The sequence below is a fragment of the Homo sapiens genome, chromosome 8 (assembly GCF_000001405.40).
Source record: "Homo sapiens chromosome 8, GRCh38.p14 Primary Assembly".
Classification (NCBI taxonomy): Eukaryota; Metazoa; Chordata; class Mammalia; order Primates; family Hominidae; genus Homo; species Homo sapiens.
Genome location: NC_000008.11, coordinates 70,005,970 through 70,019,900, shown reverse-complemented (window position 1 = coordinate 70,019,900; position 13,931 = coordinate 70,005,970). Strand labels below are relative to the sequence as shown.

The 13,931-nt window shown below is 44.3% G+C and overlaps 2 annotated features.

The window, feature by feature from the left end:
- Positions 8,924 to 9,118: a silencer, noted in NCBI's record as "fragment chr8:70923018-70923212 (GRCh37/hg19 assembly coordinates)". NCBI's record gives its function as "represses an EF-1alpha promoter that drives an FKBP-Casp9 reporter gene in an ReSE screen in K562 erythroleukemia cells {active_cell/tissue: K562}" and the evidence as "EXISTENCE:reporter gene assay evidence [ECO:0000049][PMID:32094911]".
- Positions 11,870 to 12,371: an enhancer, noted in NCBI's record as "H3K27ac hESC enhancer chr8:70919765-70920266 (GRCh37/hg19 assembly coordinates)". NCBI's record gives its function as "activates a minimal SCP1, AML or CMV promoter by ChIP-STARR-seq in primed H9 embryonic stem cells {active_cell/tissue: H9 hESC(primed)}" and the evidence as "EXISTENCE:reporter gene assay evidence [ECO:0000049][PMID:30033119]".

The window sequence follows — 13,931 nt, the reverse complement described above, 5'->3', positions numbered from 1 at the left end:
TTAAAATTATTATTATTAGCTGGGTGCAGTGGCTCACACCTGTAGTCCCAGCACTTTGGAAGACGAGGCAGAAGGATCACTTGAATCCAGCAGTTTGAGACCAGCCTGGGCAACATAGTGAGATGCCATCTCTACAAAAAATAAACAAAATTAGCTGGGCATATTGGTATATGCCTGTGGTCCCAGGTACTAGGGAGGCTGAGGTGGGAGGACCACTTGAGCCCAGGAGTTTGAGACTGCAGCGAGCTGAGATCATGTCACTGCACTCTAGCCTAAGTGACAGAGCAAGACACTGTCTCAAAAAATATATATATTATTGTCATTTTGAGATAGGGTCTCATTCTGTTGCCTAGGCTGGGGTGCAGCAGTGTGATTATAGCTCATTGCAGCCTCAAAGTCCTGGGCTCAAGTGATCCTCCCACCTCAGCCTCCCAAATAGCTGGACCACAGATGATCATCACCATACCTGGCTAATTTTTTATTTTTAGTAGAGACAGGGTCTTGCTATGTTGCCCAGCTGGTTTCCAACTCCTTCCCTCAAATGATCCTCCTGCTTTGGCCTTGCAAAGTTTTGGGAATACAGGAGCCACTGCACCTGACCTATGAAAATTATTGTTTGATGCTAGCCTGGGCTTGATATGCTTTGCCAGCACCTCAGCCACCCCTGTGCCTTCAGCCTTGAAGATGCTACCGGTTCCCCAGGTTCTGGTTGTGCTCGGCTTTGCTGAGTCTCTGGATTTTGCACCAAACTGGCCTCTGTGCCCTGGACATACATCGCTCATAACAAAGAAATCAGGACACCACGCTGGGTTGGGGCCTTGTCTGGTCTTGGGTGGCTTCTCCAGTTTCCCAGTCCAGCCTGCAGAGGTGAGGGTGAGGATTGAGCCCACCACACTCACAGGGTGGCTAACATTACCCTTATTCAGGTGCGGCTTAGCTGGCTTGGCTCAAATCCTCCTAAAAATAACCTTGGAAAACCATGGGTGCCTTCTCCCCACTTTAAAGTTGACATCTGCATTTGTTCATTATAAGTTCAAATAATTACAAAGGATGACTTTTCTGGCACATTGTAAACACTGACTTTAAAAAATGAAATGGTTATACACTCTTTAAAAAGTATCGGCTGGGCAAGGTGGCTCACGCCTGTAATCCCAACACTTTGGGAGACCAAGGTGGGTGGATCACAAGGTCAGGAGTTCGAGACTAGCCTGGCCAGCATGGTGAAACCCCGGCTCCACTAAAAATACAAAAAATTAGCTGGGTATGGTGGTGTGCATCTATAATCACAGCTACTCGGGAGGTTGATTCAGGAGAATCACTTGAACCCAGGAGACAGAGGTTGCAGTGAGCCGAGATTGCGCCACTGTACTCCAGCCTGCACGATAGAGTAAAACTCTGTCAAAAAAAAAAAAAAAGTATATAGTGGAATTAGAGCAGGCACTGTGGCTCACACCTGTAATCCCAGCACTTTGGAAGGCTAAGGTGGCATGATTGCTTGAGGCCAGGTGTTCAAGACCAGCTGGGGCAACATATGGAGAATTAATCAAGCATGGTGGTGCATGCTTGTGGTCCCAGCTACTTGGGAAGCTGAGGTGGGAGGATCACTTGAGCCCAGGAGTTCAAGGTTACAATGAGCCATGATAGCATCACTGCACTCCGGCCTGGCCGACAGAGTGAGAACCTGTCTCTGAAAAATAATAATAATAAATTAAAAATAAATACATACATACATAAAAAGTATCTAGTGGAATATCTGTACATTAATTATTGAATACTCACCATTATCCATTAAAAAATACACTAGTAGTCTCCTTTTTTTTTTTTTGAGATGGAGTCTTGCTCTGACACCCAGGCTTGAATACAATGAGGTGATCTCTGCTCACTGCAACATCCGCTTCCCAGGTTCAAGCGATTCTCCAGCCTCAGTCTCCTGAGTAGCTGGGATTACAGGCGCCCGCCACCACGCCCAGCTAATTTTTGTATTTTCAGTAGAGATGAGGTTTCACCATGTTGGTCAGGCTGGTCTTGAACTCCTGATCTCGTGATCCGCCTGCCTCGGCCTCCCAAAGTGCTAGGATTACAAGCATGAGCCACTGCACCCAGTGTAATCTCCTCTTTAACATTTGAAAATTTTACATTATTCCTTTTCTCTTTGAACATTGCATTTCACTTACTCCACACATTTTTACTTTTTTTTTTGTCTAAATAATTTTATTCCAGCCTGGCCAACATGGTGAAATCCCATCTCTACTAAAAATACAAAAACTAGCAGGATGTGGTGGTGCATGCTTGTAATCCCAGCTACTTGGGAGGTTGAGGCAGGAGAATTGCTTGAACTGGGGAGGCGGAGGTTGCAGTGAGCCGAGATCGTGCCACTGCACTCCAGCCCGGGCGACGGAGTGAGACTCTGTCTGAAAAAAACCACTTTATTACTATTCTTTTCTTTCTTTCTTTCTTTCTTTTTTTTTTGAGATGGAGTCTGGCTCCGTTGCCCAGGCTGGAGTGCAGTGGTATGATCTCAGCTCACTGTAATCTCCGCCTCCCAGGTTCAAGCGATTCTCCTGCCTCAACCCCCTGAGTAGCTGGGATTACAGGCATGCACCACCACACCTGGCTAATTTTTGTATTTTTAGTAGAGATGGGGTTTCACTATGTTGGTCAGGCTGGTCTCGATCTCCTGACCTCGTGATCTGCCTGCTTCGGCCTCCCAAAATGCTGGGATTACAGGTGTGAGCCACCGCGCCTGGCTTTACTAATATTTCTTTTATCTAGAACATGTCTCTCTGACAATAGAACACGTAAATCAATAAATTTTATGGAAATAAATAAATTTTCCATCAAAGGGAAAATTCTCAACTAGTTTTTTTCCCTGTGACCATGATGCAGCTAAGTGTTAACAAATCTATTCTGCATTATTATTCTATTAGTTCATAACTAATACAAACACATAAGTATATTACATATTTTGAGAAGGAGTTACAAAGAGAAAAAGTAAACCTACTGAAAATGTGTCTCTTATTGACATGGATCATAATTAAACTTTCTCCATGTGCCTAATGGAAGATGAAGATATGCTCTCCTCAAAACAAATTGATCTGGCAGCTAGCATATAAATTCGTTCGAGGTTAATAGGAGATAGAAGATATTAAACATTTTACAAGATGAAATAAAATGAGGATTGACTATAATTAGCAAATGTCATGATCTGATTTGCTAATGTAATTTTTACCTCTTTTAAGAATAACACACATCAAATATGAAAGAATAACATAAAAGCTCTATCTGAGGGTTTTATCCAGTATGTTTTGAATAATTTTGCAGTTTAAAAAAAAATTTCTAATCATATTTAAAAGGAATCAGCTTTACTAATGCAATTGTTCTGCCTGTTTGAAGGTATCCCCTCCCCTACCCTAGAGTGTGGAGTCCCAGGACCGAGTATTGAGAATAGCTAAAAAAGAATTGCTCATGTTCAAATGTTAGACAGTCTCTTTCTTTCTCTCTCTCCTTCCTTCCTTCCTTCCTTCCTTCCTTCCTTCCTTCCTTCCTTCCTTTCTTCCTTCCTTCCTTCCTTCCTTCCCTCCTTCCCTCCCTCCTTCCTTCCTTCCTCTCTCTCTCTCTCTTTCTTTCTTTCGACAGAATTTCCCTCTTGTCGCCCAAGCTGGAGTGCAATGGTGCAATCTCGGCTCACTGCAGCCTCCGCCTCCCGGGTTCAAAGGATTCTCCTGCCTCAGCCTCCCGAGTAGTTGGGATTACAGGCATGCACCACCACGCCTGGCTAATTTTGTATTTTTAGTACAGACAGAGTTTCTCCATGTTGGTCAGGCTGGTCTCGAACTTCCAACCTCAGGAGATCCGCCCGCCTCGGCCATCCAAAGTGCTGGGATTACAGGTATGAGCCACCTCTTCTGGCCTAGACAGCCTTTCTTAGCAGTCCATAGTTCTTCCCCAACTCTCTTTCCCTTTCCTCTTGGTACTGTCTCTCAGGAATGACGCATTCTGTGACTAATGATCAGGAAAAGAAGGAGCAAAGTCAAACAAAAATTATCATTTTTCCACTACTTACTCTACCATATATGTAAAATAAAAATATCTGATACAGACCAAAATACCACATTTCTAAGGCCATGTTTCTCCTTTAATAGATGTAAGATTAGACAGGGAGAAGACCAGGAAATGCAAGCCCTGAGGATTTAAGGCAACTGGAGTGAGCATTAAAACAGTCTTCCTCTTTGGGTCTCCAAGAGGCCTTTCCACCCTGGAGCAAATACACAGCTGCCTTCGGATGGGTGAGACGTGCATTTTTCTTTTGTAAAGCTGTTGTGAAGCTGAGTAATTGCGAAAGTAAAGGGTTTGGTAGGTAATTCCCCTAAGACTAGGTAAGGTCTCACCAGGTGCAGTGGCTCATGCCTGTAATCCCAGCACTTTGGGAGGTTGAGATGGGTGGATCACCTGAGGTCAGGAGTTCAAGACCAGCCATGACCAACATGGCGAAACCCTGTCTCTAATAAAAATACAAACAATTAGCCGGGCATGGTGGCACATGCCTGTAATCCCAGCGACTCTGGAGACTGAGGCAGGAGAATCGCTTGAACCCAGGAGGTGGAGGTTTCAGTGAGCCGAGATCATGCCATTGCACCCCAGCCTGGGCGACAAGAGCAAAAACTCTGTCTCAAAAAAGAAAAAAGAAAAAAGAAAAAAGACTACGCAAGGTCTCATAACCCTTGGAAAGTGTTTGTGTACCCCAGGGGTATGGGCACTCCAGTTCAAAGACTTGACCTTGGGGTGGTCTACGGGCGTCAGAATGTTCAACACCTTTGGGAACCTCCATCTCCACTCGCTTGGTGGTCACAGAGAAAGCAGCTGACTCTAGTCTTGAAGATGTAACAACCAAAGTGCTGAGAAACATGCTGGAGCCAGGTGTGGCTGTGGTCCTAGCTACTTAGGGGGCTGAGGTGGAAGGAGCCTCTGAGCCCAGGAGTTGGAGCCTCTGAGTCCAGGAGTTCGAGCCCGCAGTGAGCTAGGATAGCATCACTGCACTTCAACCTGGGCAACAAAGAGAGACCCCACCCCTTCTCTAAAAAAAAAGAAGAAGAAGGAGAAGGAGAAGAAAGAAGAAGAAGGAGAAGTTCTAGAACTTGCCTAAGGCCACACAGTTGCTAATGTCAGAGCCAGCAATTGGAGCTTCTGTCTGTGAGTTTGTCTTCACAAGTACACCCTTTTTCCCCCACCTCCACTCTGCCAACACCTTTCTGTCCAACTATTCCAAAGTCTGGTTGTTTACAGAACTCTTTTATGACCATTATCTCTTCTCACCCTCATGGCAACTTTGTCAGGTTAGTGTAATAATCTACTTAGTAACAAAGGGAGAGTAAGAGATAAGCAAGCGCAGGGGGAGGGTGGAATATCGTGTCAGTCACAGCCAGACAGTAAGCACACCCTGTTGGCAAAATGTTTTGGGATACGACTCTTGGGCTCAATACAGGGCATCTGGAGAAACATATAAACCTCATTTACCCAGTAATTCAAGAACCTGCCTTTTTCTAGAAAATATTGAAATGACTATAATAAGCTAAAAAAGGAGGTGGGCTGGGGGAAGGGGACACCTTTTCAGGCAGAGGGGACAGTATGGTCAAAGGCAGAGGCAAAAACAAAAACATCATGGTGAAGGCAAGAACGTAAAAGCATTCTGGAATGAAAATGTCAAACACTGCTCAACCCTCAAGTTACCTTGCCTAAACATAAGGTGTATTACTTGGATTGCAACTTATCTTTCTTTTTTTCCTTTTTTCTTTTTCTGAGACAGGGTCTTACTCTGTCATCCAGGCTGGAGTGCAGTGCGATCTCGACTCACTGCAACCTCCACCTCCAGGCTGAAGGGATCCTTCCACCTCAGCCTCCCGAGTTGCTGGGACTGCAGGCATGCACCACACTTGGCTAACTTTTTTTGTATTTTTAGTAGAGATGGGGTTTCACCATATTGGTCAGGCTGGTCTCGAACTGCTAACCACTGGTGATCTGCCCGCCTTGTACTCCCAGTGTTGGAATTACAGGTGTGAGCCATCGCGCCTGGCCCCTGCAACTTATCTTTCTATATTTCTCATTTTTCACATGAAAAGGTTGGTCTATTGTATCTGATTTTATGGAAGCTGTGCTCTGTATTTGTGGGTTCTGAAATTGTGCTTATGATATGACTCATTACTGATTGTTTCACATCTTAGAGATGAGGTTAGACTGAAATGTGGACCGGAAGCCTATTTTTGTGTTTCAATTTAAAAAATAAAGCCAGGCGCAGTGGCTCACGCCTGTAATCCCAGCACTTTGGGAGGCCAAGGCAGGCGGATCATGAGGTCAGGAGATTGAGACCATCCTGGCTAACATGGTGAAACCCCGTCTATACTAAAAATACAAAAAAATTAGCCGGGCGTGGTGGCGGGCGCCTATAGTCCCAGCTACTCGGGAGGCTGAAGCAGAAGAATGGTATGAACCCGGGAGGCGGAGCTTGCAGTGTGCCAAGATCACACCACTCTACATCCAGCCTGGGCGAAAGAGCAAGACTCTGTCGCCAAATAAATAAATAAATAAATAAAAATAAAAATAAATGCCTGCCGGGTGCAGTAGCTCATGTCCATAATCCCAGAACTTTGGGAGGCCGAGGCAGGTGAATCACTTGAGGCCGGGAGTTCAAGACCAACCTGGCCAACGTGAAGAAGCCCCGTCTCTACTAAAAATACAAAAATTAGCTGGGTGTGGTGGCACCCACATGTAATTCCAGCTACTTGGAAGACTGAGGCGTGAGAATCACTTGAGCCTGGGCAGTGGAGGTTGCAGTGAGCCAAGATTGCACCGTTGCACTCTAGCCTGGGTGACAGAGCAAGACTCTGTCTCAAATAAATAAATAATAATAAAAAAAATTGCTGACCAGGCGTGGTGGCTCACGCCTGTAATCCTGGCACTTTGGGAGGCTGAGGCGGGCGGATCACGAGGTCAGGAGTTTAAGAACCAGCCTGGCCAACATGGTGAAACCCCGTCTCTACTAAAAATACAAAAAAAAAAAAAAAAATTAGCCGGGCGTGGTGGCATGCACTTGTAATCCCAGCTACTTGGGAGGTTGAGGCAGGAGAATTGCTTGAACCCGGGAGGTGGAGGTTGCTGTGAGCCCAAATCGTGCCATTGTACTCCAGCCTGGGCGACAAGAACAAGACTCCGTCTCCAAAAAAAAAAAAAAAAAAAAAAAAAAAAAAAATATATATATATATATATATATATATATATATATAAAATTGCATATGTATGTATACAAAAACATATATACAAATTTATGAATAGGTTATCTCTGAGAAGACATACAAAACCCTGGTAATATGGGTTGAGTTCCTGGGAGGGCAACTAGTTGGCGAAAACTAGGAAACAGAGGTATAGAAAGGCATTACTTTTTCTCTGTCCACTCTTTTGTGATGTCTGAACTTTGTGCACACATTATCTACTGAATTCGTTTAATAAAGAAAAGAACTGGAGACAAAGATAAGAAATGGTACTTATTTGTAATGAGTTTCTTAAACTGACAAAAAAGGGAAAGGCACACGGCGGTGGCAGAGGAGAGACGTGTGTTGGAGAGTGAGACCAGCAGCTCTAGGTGCTGGCATGCCCACCCTCACAGCCCCGGAGCCTTGGGCAAGTGAAGCCTTTCTCATTGGCTTCTGTAGTGTGTATTCCCTGCCCTGGGTAGTACAGATGGTCCCTGCAGAGACAGATAATGAAAGCACTAAGTAGTTTATCAGCATATACTAAATGCCAAAATGATTTCAAAGTTTAAGTTAAAATCTAGTCTATTCTGACTGGGCGCGGTGGCTCACACCTGTAATCTCAGCACTTTGGGAGGCCAAGGTGGGTGGATCACCTGAGGTCGGGAGTTCGAGACCAGCCTGACCAACATGGAGAAACCCCGTCTCTACTAAAAATATAAAATTAGCCAGGCGTGGTGGTGCATACCTGTAATCCCAGATACTCAGGGGCTGAGGCAGAGAATCACTTGAACCTGGGAGGCAGAGGTTGCGGTGAGCTGAGATTGTGCCATTGTACTCCAACCTGGGCAAAAAGAGCAAAACTCGTCTCAAAAAAAAAAAAAAAGTCTTGGCTATTCTTTAAGTTTTAGAATTTCGGGCCAGGTACAGTGGTTTATGGCTGAGGCAGGTGGATCAGCCAAGGTAAGGAGTTTGAGACCAGCCCAGGTAACATAGTGAGACCTTGTCTTTATTTTAAATAAAGAATAAGGCTGGGTGTGGTGGCTCACGTCTGTAATTGCAACACTTTGGGAGGCTGAGGTGGGTGGATCACCTGAGGTCAGGAGTTTGAGACCAGCCTGGCCAACACGGTGAAACCCTGTCTCTACTAAAAATACAAAATTAGCCGGGTGTGGTGGCACATGCCTGTTAATCCCCAGTACCTGAGAGTCTGAGGCAGGAGAATTGCTTGAACCTGGGAGGTGGTAGCTCTCAAAGTGGGGTGCCCAACAAGCAGCATCAGCATCACCTGGGAATTTATTAGAAATGTTAAGTCTCCAACCCCAGACTACTGAATCAGTGACTCTGGGGATGGAGCCAACCATGTGTGTTTTAATAAACCCTCCAGGTGATACATGCTCAAGTTTGAGATTCCCTGAGCTAGAACTATACTGTCCAGCATGGTAGCCATTAGCCAAAGCTGTCTGTTGAGCTCTTGAAATGTGACTAGTTGGAATTTAGATGTGTTGAAAGTATAAAATATACACCTGATTTCAAAGGTTTAGTGTGGAAAAAGAAAGCACAATGGTTCATTAGCAATTTTATTTAGGTTACATGTTACAGTGTTATTTTTGAGATACTGGTTTATATAATATACACTATTAAATTAATTTTACTTGTTAATTTTTAATTTATTACTATTGTTACTTTTTTTTGAGACAGAATCTTGCTCTGTCGCTAGGCTGGAGTGCAGTGGCGTGATATTAGCTCAATGCAACCTCCGCCTGCCGGGTCCAAGCGATTACCCTGCCTCAGCCTCTTGAGTAAGCTGGGACGATAGACATGTGCCACCACACCCGGCTAATTTTTTGTATTTTAGTAGAGACAGGGTTTTACTATGTTGGGCCAGGATGGTCTCGATCTCCTGACCTCGTGGTCTGCCCGCCTCCGCCTCCCAAAGTGCTGGGATTGCAGGCATGAGCAACCATGCCCGTCCTATATTTCTTTTTTTTTTTTTTTTTGAGACAGAGTTTTATTTCAGAGAGTTGGGAAAATATGAGAAATGTGACATCCTCTGACAAATGTTTTACAAAAGAAAGGCATAATAATTATTATTATTATTTTATTTTATTTTTTTGAGACGGAGTTTCACTCTTGTTGCCCAGGCTGGAATACAATGGCATGATCTTGGCTCACCGCAACCTCCACCTCCCGGGTTCAAGCGATTCTCCTGCCTCGGTCTCCCGAGTAGCTGGGATACAGGCATGTGCCACCACGTACGGCTAATTTTGTATTTTTAGTAGAGACGGAGTTTCCCCATGTTGGTCAGGCTGGTCTCGAACTCCTGACCTCAGGTGATCCACCCGCCTTGGCCTCTCAAAGTGCTGGGATTACAGGCGTGAGCCAACGTGCCTGGCCTTTTTCTTTTTTTTGAGACAAAGTCTTGCTCTGTCGCCCAGACTGGAATGCAGTGGCATGATCTTGGCTCCCAGGTTCCAGGGATTCTTGTGCCTCAGCCTCCCCAGTAGCTGGGACTACATGTGTGCTCCACCATACCAGGCTAATTTTTGTATTTTTAGCAGAGATGGGGATTTCACCATGTTGGCCAGGCTGGTCTCGAACTCCTGGCCTCAAGCAATCCACCCCCCTCGGCCTCCCAAAGTGCTGGGATTACAGGCGTGAGCTATCGCGCCTGGCCCCAATGTTAAATTTTTTTTTTTGAGACGGTGTCTCACTCTGTCGCCCAGGCTGGAGTGCAGTGGCGCGATCTTGGCTCACTGCAGCCTCCGCCTCCTGGGTTCAAGCGATTCTCTTGCCTCAGCCTCCCGAGTACCTGGGATTACAGGCACCCACCACCATGCCCAGCTAATTTTTGTATTTTTTTAGAGGCGGGGTTTCATCACGTTGTCCAGCCTGGCCTCGAACTCCTGACCTCAGGTGATCTACCTGCTCTGGCCTCCCAAAGTGCTGGGATTGCAGGCATGAGTCACCGTGCCTGGCCGATTTTGAATTTTTTAAACGTGGCTATTAGAAAATTTAAAATATTTCTATTGGATAGTGCTGGTCTAGAATATTGAAATATTCTCTCAGTGTTGGAGAACTCCATTCTGAATTTGAGTTTGGAGAAGAGGTGCTTCTTGTTGTATATTTTGTCCATTTCCTGCAGAGCAGGAATCATCATGATCATCATCATCATCATCATTATCGTCATCGTTGTCATACTCTTTCTTTGGCTGAGAGCAACATTTGCCTGATATCCTGAATAACAGAGGCCCTTCACGCAAAATTTCCAAATAATGTCACCAAAATAGGACTGTTGCACCAAGTGACTAGTGCTGGAGAGTGTGTGCTGACTTCGTGGGACTATTCTTATATTACCATATTCCAACTTGGCTGGTGTTAAAATGTAAGATAAAGAAAAGATGGTTAAAAAAAAGTAGTAGGGACTCTGTGTCTTGAAATAAAATTGCCTCCTTAGTTTGCCCTTGCACAGTTGAGCATCAGTGCCTTATTGATCAGAATTAGGAAGTTAATAAGGTTTGGGCTAATTAATCAGATGGGTAGGGACTGGAACTGCACTGCAAGGCTTAATCAAGTCATCAAAGCTCTCAAGCCATGAAGAAGGTAATTAAAGGAAAAGGATGCCTGTTATATAGTAACAGGAGACCAGGAGAGGACAAGAGCAAGATAGAGAACCTCCATTTTCTTTTGTACACTTTTCTGATATAAATCAGGCCCAATGACCACAGCACGTTGCTTAGCTTCCTATCAGAGAATTGAGTTGAATGAATTTATAAATCACCTCATTGGGTAATTTACTTGCTTCACTTGCCCTAGACTAAATGTCAATGAAACTACACTTATTTATATCAAATCTGGGCTTCGCCAGGTTCTGCAGAAATGAGTTCTTGAGGATAACCTGCAGTTATCATGAAAGGTTGCAGCAATTCTGACCTACAAGCAATGCATAATTGAGTAGTTGATTATTCAACAGATACTGAGTGCCCCTGCTTTCAAACATTGTATTAGACACAGAACCATGGACCTTATCAACTGTAGAGATACTCAGGTAAAGTATGCTGCAAGGTGAATGTTGGAGATTCTTGGGAAATATTTTTTATCCCTGGTGCTCAATCGGTCTGTGCCCACACCCTGCCCCTCCTTAAAATCCTTCACTGTACCATTCTCAAACTCAAGCAGAAAAGAAATAAGGATGACGTAAGGAGGGGAAGATGCGAAGGGGAAGAAGAGGCATGAAAATAAATGCAGAGATTATTGTGTGACCCAGACATCATTGTGTCTGGATTAGATTCTCTTGGACTGGGGTGATGAACTCAACTCAAAGGAATAGGAGGTGTGCCGCTATTCAAACTGGGTCTGACCTTGTAGGTTAATAAGAATATCAGCAAAGCACTGCTATCTTTTGGGGACTATCTACAAGACCCTAAGAAAAGAGTCCATTGGATTTCAAAACCAGAAAAACCTAGTGTCCTTTGTCAAGAGCATTTCGGTGGAATGGGGTAGCAGGAGCCATGTTGCAGGGGAAGGGAACACCGCAAACTCATCTGTTTTTTTCTCTTGCGAGTCAGGGTCTCACTCTGTCACCCAGGCTGGAGTGCAGTTGGTGCAATTATAGCTCACTGCAGCTTCAAACTACTGGGGTCAAGCAATCCTCCACCTCAGCCTCCTGAGTAGCCAGGACTACAGGTGCGCACCACCATGCTAGGCTAATTTTTTAATGTATTTTTTGTAGAGATGGGGTCTGGGTTTGTTGCCCAGGCTGATCTCCAGCTCTTGGACTCAAGCAATCTCCTGCCTTGGCCTCTCAAATTGTTGGAATTATAGGCAAGTGCCACCAGGTGAAAGTGCCCAACCTCATCTTTCTTGTCTCCTCCCTTCCTCCCTCTAAACTCTTTCTTCCTCCTTTTCTCTCTTTTACAACTCGCAGTGTCTGTGGGGACAGGTTGAGCTAATTAACATCTGAATGTTCCCTTGTTTTCCTGCCCCCAATCCTTGAGTCTCTCTAGTACTTACCAAATCTTATTAAAATGTGAAGAGGAAGTATCTTGAAATTAAGTACTCATCTATTCAATGTAATGTATAATACATTCTGAAAATAAATAAAAGGAGTGAAGGGATCCTTAACAGACATTAAAATGTTTTGTGAAACTACAGTAAGTGAAAGAGTTTGGTACTGAGGCATGGATACACTAGTCTCCCCTTACCTTGGTTTTGCTTTCCCAGGTTTCAGTTATCTGTGGTCAATTGTAGTGCAAAAATATTAAATGGAAAATTCCAGAAATAAACAATTCAATTCATAAGTTTTAAATTTTGTGCCATTCTGAGTTATGTGATGAAATATTTCGAGGTTCTGCTACATCTTGACTGGATGTGAATTCTCCCTTTGTCCAACATCTCCATGCTATAGACGCCATAGAGGCTACCTTCCCCTTAGTCGTTTAGTAGTTGTTTGGTTATTGGTTAACAGATTGCAATACTTGTGTTCAAGTCACCCTTATTTTACTTCATCATGGCCCCAAACTGCAAGAGTAGTAATGCTGGCAATTCAGATATGTCAAAGCAGAGCTGTAAAGTGCTTCCTTTAAGAATAAGGAAAGGGGCCAGGTGCGGTGGCTCATGCCTGTAATCCTAGGACTTTGGGAGGCCGAGGCGGGTGGATCACCTGAGGTCCAGAGTTCAAGACCAGCCTGTTCAACATGGTGAAACCCTGTTTACTAATAATACAAAAAAAAATTAGCCGGGCATGATGGCGGGCAGCTGTAGTCCCAGCTACTTGGGAGCCTGAGGCAGGAGAATTGCTTGAACCCAGGAGGCGGCGGTTGCAGTGAGCTGCAGAGAGCTGAGATAGCGCCATTGCACTCAAGCCTGGGCAACAAGAGCAAAACTCCGTCTCAAAAAAAAAAAAAAAAAAAAAGAATAAGGAAAGGAAAAACAAAAAAGTGTGCTGAGGTTGCTAAGGTCTACAGTAAGAGCAAATCATCATCATCTTCTTTTTCTCCTTCTTCTTCTTCTCCTTCTCCTTCTTCTTCTTCTTTTTTGAGACAGCGTCTTGCTTTATCACTCAGGCTGAAGAGCAGTGGTGTGATCCTAGCTCATGACAGCCCCGACCTCCTGGGCTCAAGCGATTCTCCTGCCTCATCCTTTCGGGGAGCTGGGACTACAGGTGTGCACCACCACAGCTGGCTAATTTTTTAATTTTTGTAGGAGGGGTCTCAAACAATTCTCTAACCCTCTGAGTTGGTTGGGTTGGTGCAGCAAAGTGTTCAATGAGGAGTCAGCAATGGAGTAAACTCTAATACAGGGAGAAAATGGTTTTGTTGGAGGTTGATCATAAACATTAAATACAAATCTTTGATATTCTGGCCTCTGACCTCATGAAGCACATTCATAATTGATCACACAGGGTTGCTAAATCTTAGTATTATAGTAAAGTTTCCATTTAGATTAAATTTTAAGTTTTTTTAATTGATAAAGCAATAAAATTACATGCTGATTATTTTCAACTGTTTTGGCAATAATTTCAAACTTGGAGAAAAATGTCAAGAAAAGTACAAAGAACTAGGCCGGGTGTGGTGGCTCACACCTTCAATCCCAGCACTTTGGGAGGCCGAGGCGGGCAGATCACCTAAGATCAGGAGTTCGAGACTAGCCTGACCAATATGGTGAAACCGTGTCTCTACTAAAAATACA